At 48.0% G+C, this 23,722-nt stretch overlaps 1 long non-coding RNA gene and 1 pseudogene across 3 annotated transcripts, besides 1 other annotated feature; one reads left to right on the forward strand and one right to left on the reverse strand.

The window, feature by feature from the left end:
* Positions 8,858 to 9,365: an enhancer, noted in NCBI's record as "OCT4-NANOG hESC enhancer chr6:29492704-29493211 (GRCh37/hg19 assembly coordinates)". NCBI's record gives its function as "activates a minimal SCP1, AML or CMV promoter by ChIP-STARR-seq in primed H9 embryonic stem cells {active_cell/tissue: H9 hESC(primed)}" and the evidence as "EXISTENCE:reporter gene assay evidence [ECO:0000049][PMID:30033119]".
* On the forward strand, positions 13,337 to 17,499 carry LINC01015 (long intergenic non-protein coding RNA 1015). Of its 3 annotated transcripts, NR_037181.1 has the most exons (4): positions 13,337 to 13,515; positions 13,880 to 13,974; positions 14,983 to 15,099; positions 16,011 to 17,499. It is a non-coding gene; the product is annotated as a long intergenic non-protein coding RNA 1015 (long non-coding RNA). The 3 variants fall into 3 exon arrangements; NR_037179.1 differs by having other exon boundaries at positions 14,983 to 17,499; NR_037180.1 differs by lacking the exon at positions 13,880 to 13,974 and having other exon boundaries at positions 14,983 to 17,499.
* On the reverse strand, positions 21,743 to 22,582 carry GPR53P (G protein-coupled receptor 53, pseudogene; annotated as a pseudogene).

The following is a 23,722-nucleotide window of genomic DNA, read 5'->3' on the forward strand; positions in this document are numbered from 1 at the left end:
CTGACAAGGACTCATATTCAGAACACTTAAGAATGCTCAAGCCAACCCAATTAAAACAATCAATCCAATTCAAAAACAAGAAAACAAAACCAGTTTCAGAAATGAGACAAAGACTCAGACACAAACTTCAGCAACGAGGGCACGCAGCAGGCAGAGCAGCCCAGACAAGGTACTCAATACTATGACTCACTAGGGGACTACAAATCAAAACCACAGTGAGATCCTGTTACACACCCATTAGAATGTCTAAAATAAAAACCACAGACACTAGTAGTGCCGGCGAGGATGTGGAGCAACAGGACTAACACATCGCTGCCAGGAAAGCAAAATGGCACAGCTGCACTGGAAAGCAATTTGTTTCTTGTAAGGTTACACATATACTTACCACGGGAACCAGCAATCTCAGCCCTGGTATTTCTCCTAAAGACATAAAAGCTTATGTCCACACAGACACCCGTACACAAACTGTTATAAAAGCTCCAGTCATAATAGGCAAAACCCAGAAGCAAACTAAATGTCCTTTAACAGGTGAACGTGTAAACAAACTATGGTGCATCCATACAATGGAGTACTGTTCAGCAAAAAAAAAAAAATACTACACTGTATACACACACAGGTACACACACATATATCTCCTAATGTTAGCAGAATTTTTTTAATGTGTAATACAGCATTGTTTACTATAGGTAGGATGTTATGCATCGAATCTCTAGAATTTAATCATCTTCCATACCCGAAATTTTACACAAGCTGAAAAGCAACTCCTCATGTCCCTCTTCTCACCTCCCAGTAACCCCCATTCTACATTCTGCTTCTATGGGTTTAACTATTTTAGGTACTTTATCTCAGTGGAATTATACAGTATATGTCTTTTTGTGACTGGCTTGTCTCACTTAGCACAGCGTCTTCCAGGTTCATCCATGTTGCAAATGGCAGGATTTCCTTCTTTTGCATGGCTGGATAATATTCCATTGTGAGGATAGCCTCCATTTCCTTTCATCTCTCAATGGACATGAGGTTGTTTCCACATGGCTGTGTGGGAGCAAGGGGGTTTCTTAGCCACTGGAGCGTCCCATTGGGATGGGGCACTGGTGGTGACCCCTAAGCAGGGATGTGCCCTAATGGACTTGCATCTGATAGGGTCTCCAGGCCACTATGGCCCCATGCCTGGGTGAGGTTAAGAGTTAAAGAGTAGAAAACAGGAGGCCAGTGAGGGGGCATTTTTGGGCCCATGGGAAGGTTTCTGAGGAGATGGAAGGGCTGCAGGTATAGGTTCCCAATATGTCCCCACCCCAGTTCAATTTCAATGACCAAGGGAGATAGCAGAGGTAAAGAAAACAGATAAGAGGGGGTCACCTGACACCTGGTGGACAGAAGCTGACATCCAAGAGGTGATTCCACCCACCTCCCTCCTGAGCTTCCTCCTTCCTCAGGTCCAGTTAGGCAGGGGACCTGGTCAGTGGTGCCTAGTCACCTGCCACTGTGTGACCTCAGACAGGAGATTTGTCCTGGGAGCCTCCTTCCCTCCATCTATAAAAGGGGAATGGACACAGCAGCCCAGAAGGCTTCGAGGAGGAGGAGGACGTGAGAAGGTGTGCTGAATCCTGCCCTGCTGAGCATGTAGGCCTAAAATTTTACACACAAACTGAGTCCCTATGAGGAAAGGGCAAGCCCTCTGCCCTCTGCCCTTCCTATGTCTGCATATCCAGAACTGCCTCAGGTGGAGAGGGCAGAGACTAGGGAGCACCCATAGATGCTCTGATGCTGGCCACAGCCCTTGGGGGTGACAGTGATGAGGACCTGGGTGCACATGTGGTGGAGCAGCCAAGACCAGCCAGAGAAGAGACACACTCATGCACACACGTGTTCACAACATACACATTCACACTCACACACAAACACATTGAATGCATGCGTGTTGACAGTTCAAGGAGTAGAGGACACTGGACCTGGGCCCTGCTGACCCAGGCAGGGCCCCACTCTGATGGGTGCTGTAACCCCAGACGTCACTGTTGCTGAACATCTGCCTGCCTCTGAGTTGTGGAGCAGCTGGAGACACACAGTGGTGTCTGTGAGTGTCTCTGTGTGCAGGACCCTTTTCTAAGTGAGAGGCACATCTCAGCACAGCTGACTGATCATTCTCGGGTAAGTGTGACCTGCTGTCTCCCCTTCCTGCTGACATGGGGGCAGATGCTACCAGATGGCATCACTGGCCTCCAGGGCACTGTGGAGGGTAATGTCGCTGAGCTCCCACCAGGTGCTTTCTCTTCACTGACCATGTATTGCAGCCGTCTCATTCACCCTCACACTGACTTCGTGGAATGGGTGCTAATGTACCCATTTGAAGATGAGATGCCTGAGGTCAGAGGGGAGGCAACTGACCCAGGGACCCAGATGTGACTCTGGACTGTGATCTCAGCCCTGCCTTGTGCTGTCCTGCACTCAACTCCTGGCCTCTGCAGCCTTCCTGCCTTAGATACAAAATCTGCTGAGGATTCCGGACCCCAGTGGGGGTAGAACCTGGCTCTGGAAGAGCCACAGGAATGGGGGGCCCTGTGGGTGGGGTTAGAGGCATCCCTCAGTCCAAGTCTGTGCAAGAAAAAGTTCCCCAGAGGCAGGGATCTTATCCATTCAGACTTTAAGTGTGGGCTCTGATGGTTACTGTGGGACCCACCAGGCACTGGAGTTTTCCAGTTTGGGAGCAGAGCTGGGAGCCCTCTGCCCTCGAATAGTTGTGGAAAATGAAGAAACCCTGGAGGTCTGGCCGAAAGGTGACAGTCATTCCTCCTGTTCTCTGAGGCCTGGGGACAGGGGTTTAACCTGCAAGGCCCTCTCTCTGACCTGTCCTCCAGACGTATCACCTTCCCTTTGTCTCAGGTATTCCCAGGAGAGATGGCCCCTCTGGGTGTTCTCCAGAACCTGTCCCCAAGAGTTCACTTGTTCTTTGGTGACCTGGGAAAACAAAGCCTCTTCCTGTATCAACTGCTCAGGACTGTGGAATCTGCCCTCCCTCCACCAAAGGGAGGCTGCTTTGGAGACAATAGATCAAGCCTTCTCCGAACCAAACATCCTCCTTCTTGACTGGTGTTATTCTTCAAATGGATTCACTGGCCACAGTGAGTAAAGATTTGAGTGGAACAGAACACTCATGAGATTTCTTCTTTCCTATAGAAAACTGGGCATCTTCATGGTGTCTGAACAATAGCAGGAGGCTGATCATATAGAGATTTCTGGTTCCTGGCCCTAGTCTGCCTCCAGGTGTCCATTATAGTCATCATGGCCCTTCACCCTGAGCAGGTAGATGCCGTTCATCCTGCTGTGGAGTGTGTGCCCATTTCAGGACATTTAGGGACAACAAGTCTTGTTGTCTAGGTCTCCTTGTTTTAAAGTCCTCAGGAAAGGGCCCACCTCTGGTCAGGCCCAGGGACTCCAGAAGTCCTGGCAGAGGTGGGGCCATTTGGCTTGGTCCCATTGTCCTGGGGGTGTTGGTGAAATGAAGTTCACCCGGCTGGCATCTGGGAGCAGATGTATGGGGTGTTCTCTAAAGCTCTCAGGTGCCATGTAATTTTGGGAGTATTTTGTCTTATAGGGTGGATATGGACAAAGACATGGATATCCTGCTCGCCCAGGAGTAAAGGGACATCATTGCCAAGTATAAGCAGACACAGGTCAGGCTGCTCCCTCCAGGGAGGCGGGTCTCACCTCTCCCTCTGTTCCCTGGTCTGATGGTCCTGGACTCCTTCGGGATGCAGGGCAAGGATGAGCTGCCCACACGCCCATACCCAACAACTTTTATTTTGGCCTCCCTCACCCTCTCTCCCTCTGCCTTGCAGGTTGCTGATCCAGGGCACCAGTGGACACAGGAGATGAAGATGTTTACATCTACAAGGTCATCAGTCAGCTTGAGATTCCACAGTGAGTCAGTCTTCTGTCCTCCCAACCAATTGCCAAGACCAGCTCGGTCGTGGAGACCCTAACCCAGTGGCGCTAGAGGAATTAAAGACACAGACACAGAAATAGAGTGTAGAGTGGGAATCAGGGGCTGATAGCCTTCAGAGCTGAGAGCCATGAATGGAGTTAGACCCACATATTAATTGACAGTAAGCCAGTGATAAGCATTGCTTCTATAGATTATATATTAGCTAAAAGCATTCCTTATGGGAAACAAAGCATTCTTAGCGAGGAGCAGAGAAACAGGCCCTGGCTGATATCTGCAGCAAAAGCATGTTGTTAAGGCAAAAAAGCATGTTGTTAAGGAATCCCCCTGCAGATGTGGAGTCAGGCATGGTCACTCCTGCTGGACGTTAAGAAGGTGAAGGCTGAAAACCCAAGTAAGTACCAGGTATGGTCCTTCCACACTCAGCCACAGCGGAAGAAACAGGCCAGGCCATGTCAGGAGCCCAGGTCTCTAGCTAGAGGAAAAGTCAAGCCTGAGTGATGGTCAGTCCCATATCCTAGGCACAGACGATGGCATGGGAACCACAAGTGAACTGGGCTCTGGTGACCCTCAGTGGCTTTGGAAATAAGATAGAGAAGGATATTTCTGCAAAAAAAAAAAAAAAAAAAATCGTCTTTCCTTCCAGAAGTGCTGAATGATTGCTGTTTGTGGTAGTGAGCCTTTTGTCTGTTATAAGGCTGGTTCCTTCCTGAGGAACCAGCCCTTTAGCCCTGCCCTAAAGAAAATAAAGGAGCAGGGCTCCTATACAGGGCTCTCACTGTAAAGCAACTGAGGGAGAGTGAGCCCCAGGGAAGGACCAGCCCCATCCTCATCCACCACAGGTTATCAGTCCAGGTGGCCACTTAGGGAAGGGAAGAGGGTCTTTCTATGGGCTCACACTCAGGAGGGCCTAGGATTTGGGAGCAGAGGGAGCAGAAAATAAAGCAGCAGGGCAAGATGTCCTCAGCGAAAATAAACCAGATTGACCTGGACATGAAGTGCACCTTCAGACACCATGTCATGTTTTGGGAGCACTACAGAGTCAGGTAAGGCCTATGGGGGATGGAGGGTCCCGGGGAGACGGAGGAATTCAGAGGAATAGGGGCATCCCATGCAGGAGTCCAAGATAGGACGTGACAGAGCCCCCCAAGGGCTCTCTTGGCCAGGGAGCAGCCAGCATCACAGAGCATCTACTGAGCTCCAAACCATGGGCCGAGCTGGGGCATGTGGGTCCAGAACCCAAGTGGCTACTGAGGAAACAAGCGGTAGCAAACACAATCATGCTGCATGGTGAAAAGTTCTCTCTATGACCCACAAGTACCTGAGGTAGAGACCCACAAGAGGGGCTCAGACTTCACAGGCAACACTGACAACACCAAACACCATAGAGGATGTGGAGCCACAAGAACTCTGTGCATTGCTGCTGCAAAATGCTGCTGCTGCTGAATGCAAAATGGTACAGCCGCCTTGGAAGACAGTTGGGAATTGCTCACAAAGCTAAATGTACTTGTACCACGTGACCACAAGTGTCATAGACGTTGACCTAGCTGACTTGAAAATGTATGTACACCTAAAACCTACATGTCACATTCACTGCCTTATTCATTATCACTAAAACCTAGAAGCTACTGAGATGACCTTCAACACAGGTCCCAGGGGAGATGGAGGAATTCAGGGGAATGGGCGCATCCCATGAAATGAGGTTATACCTGTTTGGTATAATAAAATTACAGGTTAAATCTATAAATATAAATTATAATTATAGATTATTAGGTTACATTTATTTGGTATAATAAAATTATACAGTAGGTATTGTCAAATATGAAATTAATATCTAATGATTGTATTATACCAAATAAGGCAAATATGTGTCTTTTGGACTTAAGGGGACCTAATATCAAAAAAATTAATGAGTCAAAAGGACTGAATTTAGAATTTAATTTTGAAAAAATCAAATATCAAAACTTTAAAACACCTGCTATCACAAAATAGGATCATTGGTCATTGGTCATTGTAAAATAAGTCATTCATTTAACCAAAGTGATAACTCAAAGATTTCAAAAAAAAAAAAGTCAAAAGACAAAACCATTACTCTTTGAGAGAGGAGACTTAATTTTCCAAACAATAAGCCCTAATAAAGATAGCATGAGGCCAATGAAATCTGTTTCTCAAATCTTATAAACAAATCTATTAAATTTTAATGATCTTCACCATACTATATAATTTCCAAAAACCTTTTTGTAACATTTTATAATTTTTTAAATGAAAAAGTGGGTTAATACTCCAAGAAAACCTTGTTAATCTGACACAGGAGCTCAGAGGTTAGTCTTGCATCAGTGAGCCTTTGATACTAATCTTTACAGAGAAACTGTAACCAAGATAAAACCAATTTTATCTTTCAAAATAGGCTCTTACAATCGCATGTACCCACATCTTCCACAATAGCCCCTGGACTTTGAGGGGTAAGATAGTTTCAATTTCTGGCCCTGTGTTTCATGAGTGCAGTTTCTTTTGATTATCATCTTCTCCTGGTTCTGAAGATACGGTTTTAGAAGCTTTCAGTGTTTAAGATTTAGCAGGACTTGGTGTCCTTTTTAGATACAGGAGTCAAAGCCCTGTAACTCAACAGAACAAGGACTTTAAAAGCAATACAGAACATTGTATGGATGTTAATAACTTTAATTTTTTAAATCTCAGTTTTCCTAGGCAAATAAAAAACTTAATGACATAGGAATTGTTTCAATAAAATATAAAATCTGTTTGTTAGGCCAGTTACCAAAAGGCAAAAAATAAATAAAAGACCTGCAGCAATTGCTTTTCCCTAGACTTCAAGTCAAAACTAATGAAAATGGTACTTGAATTAGTTAGATATAGGAAGGGTGTGTCTTGCATCATAAGTGAAAATTTTCAGTTTCATAGAAAAACTTCAAACCAAGAGCACAGAATGTTATATTGGAAGAAAATATTTCCTTTAGACCTTTAAGATAAAACACTTTTAGCATCATGTCACAGTAGCAGTTAGAACCTGAGGAAAAAAAATTATAGAAACTGACAAGAAAGTTGGAGAGAGCGATTATCTCAGGACTTATGAAGGGGAGAGAAAGGTGAAAACAGTGAGATTCAATAAAAGTTGAAATCTGGGGTAAAAAAATTAAAATATCTTGTAATTTGTTAAGAGTAAATTAATATCTTAAGAAAATTTTGTTCTTCTAGCCCATTCTTGAGTGGATTAGCATATTTTTAATATACACTAAGTGCAAAAGCACAGTCTCTAGAAAGACTAATTTCCTTTTAATTATAGCCAACTTGATCAAATAAATTCTTTTCTCATAAAGTCTCTTTTTACAAACCTTACTATGACTTACACAAGCCACTTATGACATGCCTAGACTTCCTGTTTTATCCTAAACAGCTTCTTTCCTAAATAACCAATCATTTTATCTTCTTTTTCTTTTTTTTAAGATTTCTTTGTTGTTGCTGCTGTTGTTGCTGCTGTTGTTTCCTTGAGACAAGGTCTCTCTCTCTGTGTCACCCAGGCTGGGGTGTAGTGGCATGATCACAGCTCACTGCAGCCTTGACCCACCCAGGCTCAAGCAATCCTCCCATTTCAACCTCCCAGGTAGCTGGGACTATAGATGTGCACCAGCATACTCAGTTAATTTTCTGTGTTTTTTGTATAGACAGGGTTTTACCATGTTGCCCAGGCTGGTCTGGAACTCCCAGGCTCAAGCAATCTGCTCACCTCAGCCTTACAAAGTGCTAGGATTACATGCATGAGCTATTTGCATCCAGCCATTTTATTTTAGAACAAACATTTACCATGCAAGATTTTTTTCTCATATAAAATTTTCCTTTTAACCTTTCTTACCAAAAATATCTCTTTATATTTTTAACTGTCTTTATATCGCTCTTATTTAGTGGTTCCTTTTATCTTGTTTCATAACCTTTAAATAACCTTTGAATTCAACAAAAATTATTTTCCTTTAAATAAGAACATATTCTTAGCAAAATGTTTTTCTGTAATTTTTTTAATTGTGAATGACCCAGACATTTAATAAATGCCTGTTATGTAATATAACTTTAGATTCTAAATTATATTATGCTTATTTACAAGCATTCCTTCCATTACATTTACCTAACTTATTTTTAATAGTTTACCTAGATTACTTATGAAAACTGTGATAATCAACATTTAAAGGTATTTTCCTGTTAATCATTTATATAGCCTGTGAATTTCAGGTGTTTACCTAAGTAAGAAGCTTAAGGTTAAACAAATGAGTTTTTCGCCAATAACTCAGGATAAATGACTTATTTATCAAAAAAAATTACACAAGGATAATTATCTTTTGAGTTACATTTATAATTTTATAACCGTCATGCCAAATTTTGACACCTTATGTATATTAGCATTTAATCAAGCTGACTTTTAACCACTGAGCTTTAAAAATCCTTTAAAATCTCATTGCTGTAACCGAGTACACCCATTTTCCTGAGACATCAATTATTATTTTTTTTCTTTCCTTTTCTTGTTCCTTCAGTTCCCCACTCCCTACTTAGGCTTTTAGGAATGCAAATATAGCCTTTTACCTCCCCATTACCGGACTCTCCCTACAGTGCAAGTTCATCTAACTACACGCTCAAACTGGAAAGTCAACTTGAGAATTAACAGTTGATTTATAAACCAATCATGCCCACTGTGGAACTCTCACTCTTTAGGAGGTTGTCTCAAGAGATAACAGCCTGCCCATGAAGGTGCCAGCAGTCACAAGCTGATTGCCCCGTAGATAAGGCACAAGAGCTAGCATGGACCCCCCGCCACCACCCTTGCTCACTTCCTCCCCTGCTTTTTAAAAGTGAAGCCATATGGAGGACACCTGCATTTCTTCCCCTAAGCTAGTTTTGGAAATAAATTACTTTCTTTATACCAGACTTCACTTTTGTTAATTGGACTCTGCAAGCAACAAGCGACTAACCTGCATTTTGGTTACATTACCATGTTTTAGGTGGGACAAACTTCTAATATTTCAAATGTAACACAAATATCAAACCAGTAAAGACTTTATTTAGGAACCAAACCCAGGCTGCCATGGTGGAAAAAGGGCAGAACCTTAGCTACTGAACTACAGCATGGGGCAACCACTATTGCTATTTCAGTTTGGCTTGGCTAGCAAAGGGTTGTTTTGTTATGTAAATAAAGCCCTTCAGGTAATTGAAATCTTTCTTGCTTCGATGGCTGATTTTTCTTTTTTTTCTCTTTGTTTTTCCAGCTTCAGGAATTTAGCCAGTTCAGAGGTCTTGTTCCCCATAATTTAGAACTTTCCTTCAGGTTTGACCAAGTCAACTAGAGTGGTCAAACCCAACGGAAAAAAGACTAAAACAACAAAAACAGAACCAAACAAATAAACAACAACAAAAAAGTAAAGCAAAACAAATGATTGCACAATTTATAAGATTACTGAGCACTCTAATGGTAAGGAGGAATCAAGACCAGCTGGTAGTTAATCTTAACTTTCAGAGAATTTCCAAGACAAACCCCATTTCAGCTACTTATGTAGGAATAAGGCCCAGGTTGAAGATTGCTCTCTATCATCCTAGAAGCAGGAAAAAAACTCAAAACTCATCTTCCCTGTTGGAAGCAAGCTGAAACTCTGGAAAGGAGTTGCCTGCTTTCCATTATCATGGATTCAGAAAAACTCATCTTTTTGGATGCAAGTAAAACTCTAGAAAAGGAGTTGAACAGCAAAATAAACCTTAGATCTCAACAACATTTTGAGAAATCAGGGATTCTCTGGAGATGATACCTCCCAGGCCTCAGCAAATCGTCCTGTTGGTTTTGTTACTGGCAGCAAATCCATATGGGTCTGCAGCAATCTCAATTCTTGCCTTCTCAGAAGAAAGAATTCGACTGAGGGGCATACGGCAGAGTGAAAGATTGAGGCAAGTTTTAGAGCCAAGAGTGAAAATTTATTAAAAAGCTTTAGAGCAGAAACTGAAGAAAGTAAAGTCCACTTGAAAGAGGGCCGAGTGGGTGACTTGAGAGATCAAGTTCATGGTTTGATCTTTGACTTGGGGTTTCATACATTGGCATGCCTCTTGGGGCGGGGGAGTGGTTTGCATCTCTTCTCCCTTGATTTTTCCCTTGGGGTGGGCTGTCCACGTGCACAGTGGCCTGCCAGCACTTGGAAGGGGCAACATACACAATGTGTTTACCAAAATTGTACACATGCTCACTTAAGGCATTCTTCCCTTACCAGCCGAGTGTTCCTGGAGAAAGGTTATATACTGGTTCAACTCTGCCATTTTGCCTGTTAGTGCACATGCTTAAGTCCACTAGCCCACCTCCTGAGATCTTATTGGGAAGCTGCTGATTACCAACTTGAGGTGTTTCTATTGGGAGGCTGCCTTTCCCTGGCACCGGCTGCAGCCAATTATTATTTTCAAGAGGCAGTTTAACAACCTCCTGACCACCATCTGATGGTTGCCTGACATTCCTGGGCGAGGGTCCCTCTCCTGACCTATTCATGTCTGACTAATTACCTATTGTAACAGTTTGAACAATAAAGATAGCTCAAGGCCAGACATGGTGGTTCATGCCTGTAATCCCCGCTCTTTGGGAGGCCTTGCAAGGCCAGAGGATTTCTTGAGCCCAGGAGTTCAAGACCAGCCTGGGCAACAAGGCAAAACCCTGTCTCTATGAAAATTACAAAAATTAGCCCGGTGTGGTGGCACAAGCCTGTAGTCCCAGCTACTCAGGAGGCTGAGGTGGAAGGATCACCTGAGCCCGGGAGGTGGAGGCTACAGTGAGCAGGGATCGTGCCACTGCACTTCAACCTGGGTGACAGAGTGAAACACTGTCTCAAAATTAAAACAGATAAAATAAAAATATAGCTCATACTGGTACCATGCACAAGTAGATTTGTCAAAGGTCAGGGCCACCTTCACTCAGAGTCTCTTCCGTTGGTTGCCAACTTGTAAACGAAAAAGTATGTCAGATAGGTCTCAATCAGTTTAGAATTTTCATTTTGCCAAGGTTAAGGACGCACCCAGGAAACAGGTATATGTACCTTTCTCAAAGATGATTGTGAGGGCTTCAATATTTAAAGGTGAGAAGTGTGCTAGATGGGAAAGAGGGTGTGGTTATCCACATGTTGCAAGAGAAAAGGAGTAGGCAGGAAAACAGTCAATTATGGATTCATCTCACACTCAGTAATAGGCCCTTTACATAAGGTGAACATAAGACTAGCTACTTGAGGAGCTATTTAACCTTCTATCTGTAGCTATCTGCTGAGGAACAAAAGGAAAGACAGTTTTTTGCATGACTCAGCTTTCAGCTTAATTTTTTCCATTTGGCATAGTGAATTGGAGTCCTGAGTTTTATTTTCCTTTCCCACCTCAAACCCCACAAGCTTTGCGTTGTTGCAGATTGTCCCTCTCAGAATATTTTACAAGATGGTGAAGTGCCTAATGAACATTTCTTTTGTCATAAAGTGAGTTTGGATCCTGAAGAAGCCATCATCTTAATCAGGCTTTGGGATCAAAGTTCCCCTTCACCCGAACCCTGAACAGCACAGCAGACAGGGAAGGACTTACTGAGATGGCTGCTCCCACTCTCCAGCCCCCACTTTCCTGACCATTCCTGGCAGGAAGAGCTGCTGAGCAGACTCCATGGGCTGCCCACACAGGGTCTGGACCTAGCTGTCTTCCTGTGCCCAGCAGCCTGTGAGCCATCCCAGTCCCCTATGTGCAGTGGTCAGCACCCACAAGCCAGCCTTCATAGGGATTCAGTTCATGGGTGTTGCCCTGAGCCTGGCACAGTGGCCTCCCCAGCTTAGCATCTGCAGTTCGGGTCAGGGTGTTCTTAACGGCCCTCACCTATGCCTTTTCTGGCCACACATGAGTTTGGATGAAGCAGGAGTCTCTTCCATAGCTCCTTTTCATCTGAGATGTCCATGACTGGCTCAAGTGAACCACAGTGTCAGGAGAGGGGCACGGAAGCTGCACCCTAAATTCCCCGGGACCTGTGGCAGGCCTTCCTGGTGACCTCTGCCTTCTCAGGTGACTTCTGCCCTCCTGGGTGACATTAGTTCTCCCCTCTCAAGTGATCTGTGCCCTCCTAGGTTACCTCAGCTCTCCCAGGTGACCTCTGCCTTTCCAGATGACTTCAGTCTTTTCAGGTGACCTCAGCCCTCCTAAGTGACATTAGTCCTCCCTGGTTATCTCTGCCCTCCCTGGTGAACTCAGGTCTTCCAGGGGACCTCTGCTTTCCCAGATGATCTCTGCCTTCTCAGGTGACATTAGTTCTCCTAGGGGATATTAACTCTCCCAAGTGACCTCTTCCCTTCCAAGTGACCTGTTTCCTCAGGTGACCTCAGCTCTGCCAGGGGACTTCTGCCTTTCCAGGTAACCTCTGCCCTCTTGGTGACATAGTGTGCTCAGGTGACATTAGCCCTCTCAGGTGACCTCAACCCTCCAAGGTGACGTCAGCCTTGGTGAAGTCTTTCCATGATGACTTTGGCTTTTGCCAGAGGTAGGCTACTGCGGGGGCATAAGCCATATCATGCCATGAGCCACTATCCTGCTCATGTTCCAGAATGAGGAGACATCTGGGTGCTGGCCCAGCTGCTGGCCAATGAGAGGCTTGCCAAGCATGGTACTCTCCAAGGTGACCTCTGCCCTCTCAGGTGACACAGTCCTCCCATGTGACATTAGCTCACAGTGGACAGCTACCCACGAGGCATCACACAGCCAGGACAGGGGACGGCCACACTGGCTGGGTAATTGTGACTTACAGACAAGGCACCTTCTGTCCCCTGCTCATTTTGAGCCTCCAGGGTATCCCCTGCTGAGAGTCCCACAGGAGCCTGTGACTGGCCAGGGACCCGACACCCCAAGTCAGATGCCTCTTGTCCCCATCAGCAAATGGGATCACAGCTGCCCTGTGACCACCTTCTGCATCCTGGTGTCACAACCTTCTGGCCCTGACCTTATGCAGGGGACTCTTACAACCCTGCTGGTCCTTCCACCTCCCAGCTGGCCACCCTCCCAACCACCCTCCCTGCCCATGGCTAGACCAAGCCCAGATGACAGCTTCTCTCTGTCCTGTGTCCCCTGCCCTGACCCCACATCCAGGAGAAGGCCACACACCCTCCAGCACCCCTGGTCACCCCACCAGCTCCCACCTGTCCTCACTGCTTCAAAGGCAGGCCTGCCCTTCTGGAGCCATGGCCCTGGAAGCCACTAAGCAGTGCCTCCAGCCAGGCCCCAGGGGCATTCCCACCCCTCCTCTCCTGGCCGAGACCACATGATGGGGTCACTGGATGGGACAGTGAAAGGCCTTGGGGTCTGGAAGCAACCACCACTGCCCAACTGCCACTGCCCAACCGCTGCTGCCCAACTGCCACTGCCCAACTGCCACTGCCCAGCCTGATGGCTCCACATCTCAGGAGTAGGCTCTGATTCCTTGGGGCCCCAGGAGCCTCTCAGGAGTCTACATCCCAAGATGTTCTAACTTCCAGAGTCTCCAAGCCCATCAAGAGCAAGTTTTGCTAAAAGTGTTCTGAGAGCTTATGAAGCACATGGTGAGTGGTCAGTCCCTCAGCTCTTCCCCAGAGGCCCTGGGTCCCATGGGGTTAGCAGGGACAGGGGAAGCCTGGGGCTGGTGAGAGGCCAACTTCCAGCCAGGGCTTGATCTGGTTTTCAATGGATTCAAAGTTTGGCCTCCTTTTCCTTACCTGGAGGGGACAGAGGCACTGGGACCAGGCCAAGCTCTGGCTGAGCCAGGGCTAGGGGAAGTACATCCACTGGGGGCCCATGCCATGGGGAGGTGTTGGGGCACAGCCACCACTGTTCTACCTCTTGGGGAAGGGTCTGCAGTGGGGTCTGGAATACAGAGGTTTTCACGGAAGCCCAGGGGACCCTGAACACTTCTATTCCTTCTATCAGGACAAGGAAGGGTTGTGCATCCGGCTTTCCACCTTAAACTGGTTTCTATGGTGCTTCATCGATGAGATAAGGATGCATAGGAGACCCCAGGCCAGGTACCTCCTTTCCCCACAGTGCTCAGCTCCCCCAGCCCAGGGGTCTGGCTTCCCCAGGAGGACCCAGCTCACCCCCACCCCACAGGAGGCACAGGCAGGTCTCTGCAGGGCACACAAGCCAGGACCTGTATGATGGGAGCTTTACACACCAGACACCAGGGAATTCTGGGCAGACTGGGCCAAGACCCATCTTGGAAGAGCCAAAGGAGCCAGGGAAGCCACAAGCCCTCAGGAAGCCCCTTATTCTGGGAACCACATTTCTGCTGAGATGAGTCCATCCCCATGAAGAGCTGCCGGACCTTGTCTGACCCAGCCTTATGGAAGATTGGGTGGGTCTCTTCCCAAGCAGAGGGAGCCTCAGGAAGTCCAGACTGAGGCTACAGTGGGCCCTGCTCAAGCCACCAGCCCCGAGGTTGGAAAGGCCAGGTCCTCCCACACCTGCTGTTCCCACAGACTTCCTTCATGCTCATCCTGTGGCTCTGGGATGTCTACCTACTGGGAGGTGAGTGTGTGGTGACAACTATGGTATACATGGCCTTCACAGCCACAGAATTAAGTCCCTGGGTGGCCAATGGTGCCCAGAAGGAGCATGCAGGACAGACCCTGGGACCTATAGCCAGGACAGATTCCTGGCTTCTGGTGTGTGATGACCTGAGAGCAGCATCCACACTGTCCAGATGGCTCTCTGCTCCAGCCTGGAGGTAGGGCCAGACCAGGCCTGGTGGGCTGGGCAGGGAGTGGACCCAGGTACCAAACCCACTCCTGACACAACCCAGATGAAAGGCAAGAGTGTGTTGAGCACTTCCCTGCCCAGGCCTTCCTCCAGCTGTGGTTTTCTGTGAACATCTGGACCCCTGGGGCAGCCACAGTAGGATCCAGCACCGCCCAGTGGTGGGTGCCTGGGGCAGGAACAAGGTGCAGACACTGACTCTCCCACAGACCCCTCCCAGCCTCATAGTCACCCTGTCCCTAGAACACCCCCTGAAGCTGTTCCTGTTTGGCTTGCAGGAGTTCCTTCAGGACACACTGTCCTAGGCCTGGGCCCTGGAGGAGGACATGGTGATGAGGCACCCTGAGGCCTCCATGGGGGAACTGAGAAGCATGCACTGTGACCTGCACACCCAGGTGGGCTTCAGCACCAAGTCTCCTCCTGTGTCACCCTGCGGGGCAGTAAATAGTGGGAAGTGCCCAGACCTCACCAGCCCTGCTCCCTGGGCCTTCCTCCAGCCCCTCCTCTCCCTCCTCCTCTAAGAAGCTTCTGAAACCAGGCTGCCTGAGCCTAGGGCAAAAGCTGACCTTGGGTTTACTGGACATGCCTCAGAGACAATGAGACGTGAGCAAGACTCTTCCAAGCCCCTCCCCTGTACCCTCCTGCTCTCACTCCTGAAAGCCCCAGAAGGACACTGGAGGGGTCAGATCCATCTGTGCAAGCCCACAACCACACCTGTGAGTACCAGCAGCCCTGGAGAGCAGCAGGGGGCCTTCACTCCTGAGCACCCCTCCAAGGGCCTAAAATCAGTGTCAGAGACCCTAAGAGAATCTAGGGAGAGGGCATAGGTGAAACCCTGGCCCAGAGCCAGAATTGATTGCTCAGCTGAGTGTGGGAACAGTCCAGCCCTGGCATGGAGATCCCCCAGAGGAGTGGAGGGTGTCTCATCCACTGTGGAGATAAGCCCCCATATTGCGTGGCAAAGGGGCTAGGTAACAGTTAAGGCCTCATCCATCTGAGCTCTGAATCAAGGCTAAAGCCCAGGCTAAGCAGCCCTGGGGCAAGAGTGTGAGGCAGGAAGACTGAGTCAGCCTGAACCCTGGGGGCTGTCCCTGGAGTGACTTGAGCTTCCCTGACAGCTTCCCCACTCTAGGCTGCACACACACCTCGCTCTGGGAGTAGCAGCCTGCAGGAGTGTCCTCAGCATTAGACCAGGGGGACCACACGGGGACCCTGAGGACTGCAGGGACCCAGGTCTGTGGGGTCCAGCCTGGCAAAAGCAAGATGTTCTCAATGGAAAAGCTGACCAAATCTGCTTTCCTTTCAGCCAAACCTGAGCAAGCACCCCCACCACCCAGGCCTCTGCAGATATCCCCCAGCATTGAGACCCTCCCCAAGGGGATGGGCTGCTTCTCCCTGGCCCACAGCCCAGCTCCAGCAGCCCATGGGTATAGCCCTCCTGAAACAGGAGCCTCATCCTCCCTCACCCTCACCTGGCTATGCTGTACCCAAGGCCAAAGCCCAGAGGCATAAGGGAGCTTCTGCAGAGCCCAGGACAGCAGGCTGCTCTCTGGGGGCCCTGGGGACTCAGAGTGTGGCCAGCCCATCCCCAGCTCAGGATAGACCACAGAGTGCTTGGTGATTCCTGCATTGGAACTCCCTCTCTAAGCTCCCCATGGACCTGGACCTCAGAGGCCTGTGGTTTTCACAGTAGAGCTTGGAGCAGAGATGCTAGGCCCCTATCACTTCCATATGTGTCCTGGACACCTCTAAGATCATAGGACTGGCCTAGCCCCCAATACCAGACACTGCCCAGCCCCCTGATAGCCCAGAGGTAGGGCCAGAGACAACTCTCCTGCATGTGATGCCTACAGCTGATCACTCTTGGCAGACAGTGAACATCACGGCCCAGAAGGAGCCAGGGCAGCACTTGGCAAGCTGCCCCAAAGCCCCAGAGAGCTCCTTAGACATGGAAAGTCAATACTGATGGGGAAGCTGGACACTTGGAGGCCACTGGAGGGAGGGGTGAGCATGGTGTCCCCACAGCCCAGGCCACCCAGCAGCATGCCCTGCATCCATGGTCCCAACCTGTAGGGCAGAACCCCCCTCTCAACGCACAATTCCTAGACCCAGAGGGCCCTAGCCCAGACTCAACCTGAGCCCTGAAAGGGAAGGGGCACCAGGGGTGCCTTGGGGCCTCCAGCAGCAGCCAAGATACACAGGAGATGGAGCCCCCTGTGGCCCTGGCCAGAACTAGTATTTGGCTTAAGGCGGAGCAAGCCCCCTTGGAGCACTGCGTACATACCCGGGGCCTATGTGTGCCTGGCAAGGCCAAGCTGATGATGTTACCAAGCTCAAACTACCACTGGCCACCTTGGTGAGGGTGGGGCAGAAACACGTGGACCAGCCACCAACCTCATCCATTCAAGGAAGCAGAAATGGTCAGGCTCCTGCAGGATAAGTGGCCACCACCAGACCACCAATGGGGCAGAGTTCTGAGGCCCAAGCAGATGGCACTGGGGCCCTGCTTCCAGGGTCCACAATCTGCTCCAGGACACAAGACTGAAGAAAACTAAGCAAATGAGAGTCCAGGAGGCTGGATCCCTCATCTGCCATTCTTGGCAGTTGCATTTTGTGGTCAGAAAAAGTCAGGAAACTTGGCTCTACTCACTGCAGGAGGCTCCAAGGTGGGACCAGAGCTTCCAGCATAGATTCAACAATGCCTAAGAATGCCTCTTCTTGGGGAAAAGGACCCCTTCCTTGGCCTCAAAGCCCCCACTTATTTTGATTAAAGCACAATAAAGTCTTTGTTGTTATGTCCTGCCTGTTTTTGAGTTGCCCAGAGCTCTCTGCAGGAAGCCCTGGACATACTGGGGTGGATGGGAAATGAAGATGGCACAGCCCAGACCCTGACCAGCCTCTCACAGCCTCCCCATCCCAAAGGCCGCAGCAGGGCCAAGCACCAGAAAGGCCAAGGTTCCCACCCAACTGTGAGCCACACTGCACTGCAGCCTCCCACTCTCAGGCAGATGCCAGGGTTAAGACCCTCCAGTAATTTCCTGTAATTCAAACTGCACCTGATAGGGACCCCCAGAGGGCTGGGAAGGGAGCAAAAGTTGGAGTTCCAGTGACATTGCTCATTCATGACAGTCTGTACAAAGCATCCCTGAGAGGGTCTGCTGTCACCTGTGTCTACTGTCCCTGGGTGGCTGGTCTCCGGCAGCCCTCCCTTCCTTTCTTCCCTCCTTCCCTCCCCACATCCCTCCCTCCCTCTCTTCCTTCTTCTCTTGCTTCCCTCATCCTTTCCATCTCATCTCCTCTCAGCATCTGGCAATCCCAGGTCCTGAGCCTGTGCCAAGGCGGGACACAAAGGACACCACTGACAACAAGCCAGGTGACTAGCGGGGTCGGGGAGCCTTGTGGAATCAGAGTGGATGGGGAGGGGCTCATCTGTGCAGCCCAGGACTGCTGCCCCGGGAACAGTCTAGAACAGTGCAGAAGTGTGTGTCCCTGTGTGTGCACATGTGCACGTGTATGTGTATGTGTGTGCGTGCCTGTGCACACCTGTTTACTCAGTTCTGCTCTAAGTCCATGTCCACGACCCCAGAAGATCCCAGGTATGTCCTCACTGACGTCTGCTGAAATCAAGCATGGCCCCTGCTGGTAGTTATTGCACTGTGTAATGCCATCGTCGGGACCTCAGAGCAATAGAAACCAGTGGACCCCTTTAGGCTTTTCTTTCCAATGGGACATAAAGAAGTTATATGGACAGAAGTTATATCCTGTTTTCTTTCCATTGATTCTTTTACCACCTTTCTCCTCTTACTGATTTTGAATGAAGGGGGTTTTTCATGAGGGTAAGGTAACTGGCAAGAAATGAAATAACAGCCAGATGCAGTGGCTCACGCCTGTAATCCCAAGATTTTCGGAGGCCAAGGAGGGTGGGTTGCCTGAGTCCAGAAGTTCAAGACCAGCCTAGACAACATGGTGAAAGCCCATTTCTACCAAAACAAAAAAATTAGCCAGGTGTGGTGGCACGCGCCTGTAGTTCCAGCTACTGGTGGGGCTGAGGTGGGAGAATGGCTTAAGCCTGGAAGTCAGAGAGTGGAGATTGCAGTGAGCTGAGATCACGCCATTGCACTGCAGCCTGGGCAGCAGAGCAAGAACCTGTCTCAAAAAAAGAAAAAAAGAAAAGGAAAGAAATGAGATACCGAGAAACTAGCAAAGCTTCACCTGGCTGTCTGGAGACAGCCCTTGTGTGGTCCCCAGCCCACCTCACAGGTTCTAGGCTGGCCACCCTGTGGCCTCTGTACTGTGTATCTGGACCCAGGCTCTGTGGGAAGGGTACCTGGTCTGACAAACATTCCTCCATTTTTCTGGCTGCAGCTTGGAATAGGCCCAGACAGCATGTCCAGGAGATGCCAGACAACCTCACTATATCCTGTGAGACAGGCCCAGTGGGCCTTGAAGGAAGGGGTGAGCATGAAGCTGGGCACCCAGAGCCTGAGACCAACTGTCCCTCCCTGTGCCCTGGAGGAGGGGCCTGGCCTGTCAGTGTAGATGTGGGGAGAGAAGGGTCTGTGGACCCAGGAAGGGACATTGGTAGGGGACTTTGAGCACCACTGCTCAGGGGACATGAATGACAGGGTGGGAGGCATCTCCCATTTCTGCCCTGAGCACAGCACCCCTTTGACTCCTGAGGGCCACGAGGAGTCCACTCCCCAGAGCTTTTTGTAGAACCTGCATATGAGTCCATCAGAGGTGAGATTTGCAAATACTTCCTCCAGCCTGGGACTTGTCTTTTCATTCTCCTCACAGGGTCTTTCAGAGTGCACACATCATTTTGATGAAGTCCAATTGATCATTTTTTTTTCCTTTTATGCATCATGCTTTTGGTGCTTATCTAACAAATATTTCTCTAATCCAAAGTCACACTAATATCTACCTTTTTCCTTATGCAAATTTTAAAGTTTTAGGCCTTACATTTTGGTTTATGATACATTTTGAATAATGGTGCCATGTATGGACTGAAGTTTTTAATATGCATATCTAATTGTTCTAATAGTATTTGTTGCTAAGATTGTCTTTTCTCCACTGAATTTGCTGTACAACTTTTGAAAAACAATTGAACACATATGTGATGGTCTATTCTGGACTCTGTATTCTGTTCTATTGATCCATTTGTCTAGCCTCTTACCAATACCATACCGTCTGAATTTCTGAACCTTTACGATAGGTCTTGAAGTTAGGTATTGTTAGCCATCTTACTTAATTCTTCTTTTTTAGAGGGTTTTTTATTTCTAATCTAGGTCCACTGCATTGCCACACACAGAAACCCGTGCCCTTGAGCATACATACATATGCAACACAAGTATAAATATATGCACAGAACGACAAAGTGAAATTTATCCCAAGAATGCAAGGCTGCTTCAACGTTAAAAATGGGCCAGTATAACTCACCATATTAACAGATGAAAAGACAACAGCACATCATTATTTCAGTATATTTGGAAAAAGCATTAGACAAAATCCATCAACCTTATAAAAACTTCCAGTCTATTTCTATTCCTAAAAACTAGGAATAGAAGTGAATTTTCTTAAACTGATAAAAGGCACCTACAAAAACCCTGTAGTTGATGTTTACTGGACGTTATTCTTAATGATGAAAGACTGGATGGTTTCACCCCAGAGGAAGAACTAGGTGAGGATGTCAGCTCTCACTACTTGTATTCAGCATCCTATGGAGAGTCTAGCAGTGCAAAGGGCTCCTTCCTTTAGTAGACTCAGATTTCCATCTGGAGTCATTATTCTCCTGCTAGATGGATGTCCTTTACCATTTCTCAATCTGTACATCTCCTGGTGATGATTTCTTTCATCTTTTGTCAATCTGAAAACCTCTTTATTCTGCCTTTTTATTGGAAAACAAAATTTTGACTGTGTAAAGAATTCTAGGTTGGCATTTTTTTCTTTAAAAAAAATACTTCCATACAACTTGCAATTTTCCAACAAGAAATCTGCTTTGTATCTTTGATTCTCTGTACATATATGTCTTTTTCTTCTCTATCTAGCTGCTTGTAGGAGGACTCAGCTTCTCGCAGATAGACATGTATGATAAAGATGCAGTAACTACATCAAGTGTGGTATTGTCCATGGATGGATAAATAGACTGATGGAATAGAGCAGAGGGCCCACAGACAGACCCACAAGAGTCCAACTGTGATTGATCACCAAGGAGGAGCGTGATGGTGAAGGACTGTGCTTGTTATAATGTGCTGGGGCCTTTGGATAACCACTGACTAAGTGGGCCAAGTGGCCTTTTGGCTTAGGCTGAAGCAGGATAATAATAACGTTATCTATTCATAGAATTGTTAAAATTACCTGGTTTTATATTTGCAAAGTAATTAGAGCAGTATTGAGACAAAGGGAATCTTCAGTGAACATTTCCTCTAGTCATAGTTTTTTCCACCACTTGACTTCCTGCCCTATTCAGAGTCTTATGTTTGCCAGGACTCAAGCACCTCCTTATGGGGCAGACTCCACAGGGCATGATATGGTTTGGATCTATGTTCCCCACCCAAATCTCATGTCCATTTGTAATTTCCAGTATTGGAGGTTGGGCCTGGTGGGAGGTGATTGAATCATGGAGGCAGATTTTCCCCTCTGTGCTGCTCTCATTATAGTGAGTGAGTGCTCACCAGATCTGATTGTTTCAAAGTGTATAGCACCTCTCCCATTGCTCTATTCCTGCTGTTCCTGCCATGTGAAGACGTACCTGCTTCCCCTTCACCTTCTGCCATGATTGTAAGTTTCCTGAGGCCTCCCCAGCCATGCTTCCTGTACAGCCTGTCAAACTGTCAGCCAATTAATCCTCTTTTCTTTATAAATTACCCAGTCTCAGATATTTCTTTATAGCAGTGTGAGAATGGACCAATACAGGGCATCATGGTCAGTCCTGGGGAACAGCTTCCTGGAGTGGGAGGAGCTCAGTCCTGGTAACCTGCTGTTCCCTTGCCTGAAACCCCTTGTTTCCTCCACCTTCCATCTCATTCAACAAAGCTCTTGGGAGAACAACTTTAAGGACTCCCTATGCCTCTTCCTTCAAAGGTAGCCAGCCAAGAAGTAGATGGCTGGTTGAGCCATACTGACTACCATGGACAGCAGCAACAGAAGGTCAAAGGCAAAGGTCAGGTATTCTTTTCCTGGCAGGTACACAAGGACAACTAAGGGCAGGCCCCAAACGAGGAAGCTGATGGCCACAAAGCGGACAATGTGGTAGATCCGGATGGGTGAACAGTTCTTCAGGCAGTACAGGCTCCTGATGATCAAAGTCAGGCTGGAAATGCCCACCACAAGACAAATAAGCATGTGAAATATTATAAAGCCTGCCTGAAATTGGTCACATGCCAGGCCCTTCTCCCATTACTCACAAACCTGGCTAACCACATGCAAAGAAAGGGCCAGGGCCCAGCTCAGGATGCTCATCACAGCAGAGGTGTGCTTTGGGCGGTGGCAGCACCAGGTGGGACAGAGGACACACAGAAAGCTCTCAATATTCATGGCCACCAGGAGACAGAGACTCACTGTGTCAGAGAAATAGGACACAGGCTCCAGAAACATGGCCACCTGCAATGTCACCTGGTGATACAGCATGAGGATTTTCTCCAACAGGATCACAGTTACACAGGAGAGGTTGACCATATCAGCAGCGGCCAGGTTAAGGACATAGGTCATGTAGGGGCTGCTCCTGACCTGGAAGCAGAAAAGCCAGCACACCACACCATTGCCCACCAGCCCACAGAAGGCCACCAGCACTGTCAGGATGAAAACCACCTGTTTGCCCACCAACCACTCGCCTCCCGTATGACTCATGTTCACTTGTCCTGGGGTCTCTGTCCTGTTGTCCCAATCCAGCTTCCCAGAGAACACTGAGAGAAACTGGGCCATGGTGGGCTGCCTTGGCTGCCTGGGCACACCCTGCAAAGACAAAGGTTGGTAACTTACCAGGCCTAGGAAGGAGAGTCAGGGTTGCCTTCTGACCTGCTGGGCTTCCCAAGAGGGTCCTGCTGGGCCTCCCAAGATTGGTGGGAATCTCACAGAGCAAAGTCAAGGAGAGGAATGAGTCTCCTGCAAGTGATCCATCCATCCCATATCCTCCACTGCAGGGTACCCTCTCCTGCTTGCCCCCATCCCTCTCTCCACCTCGTTCAGGTATTCTTGATGCTGTGCCCAACACCAGGTGTGTATCCATGCACCTAGGTGCCCATAAAGGAAAGAGGTGCATTTCTTTACCTTTGTTCTCCAACTCTCTCATTGACACAGACAGTTTTCATGGCATGGTTTTGGTGGAGGCACCAGGCAATTCCTCTGCCCTAAGGTTCTGAGATATTCTGAGTCCCACATGGGGCAGTTGCTTTTCAGTGCTCTAGGGAAGGTCTACCCAACCTCTCTCCTGCTCACCTCCCCTCAACTCCTCACTTTCAGCACGAGGGCCTCCTGGTAGGACCTTTATGTTGTTCTGCTGCCTGGAAGGGCCTCTGCACATCTGTAAGCTTTGTATCCTCTTTCCAATCTTTGCCCCAGTATCAACTTCCAGAGAAGCTTCTGCTTCCTATTAACATTGCATTCATCACATGCTGAGTGTCTATGCAACTTACTTACTTCTGCAGAAATCCCTCTGTGGGAATGGAAGATTTATCAGGTTTTTTATTCTCTTCACAATGTTGTTCAATAACTTCTCCAGCTCCTGGAACAGGGTTTGACATAGAGGACTCACTTGGGTACGGCACCTATGGAGAGCTTTATGCAGCTCAGTTACACTTGGGGAAGTGCTGGTGACCTCTTCATAAAAGCAAACTTTGCTTCTGAATCACAGAAGCTTCTGGAACAAAGCTTGTTCCGCAAACTGATTTAAAAAAAAAGGCTTCTTGGACTCCTGAGGGAGACTCACACCTGAACCCTGGGCTACGTCCACAACAGGAGCAGGCACTCTCCTCCACATTGCCAATCACAGGTCTTTCTTTGTAGAATCATGAGGGGAGG

This window comes from Homo sapiens, chromosome 6, assembly GCF_000001405.40.
Source record: "Homo sapiens chromosome 6, GRCh38.p14 Primary Assembly".
NCBI classification, from domain to species: domain Eukaryota; kingdom Metazoa; phylum Chordata; class Mammalia; order Primates; family Hominidae; genus Homo; species Homo sapiens.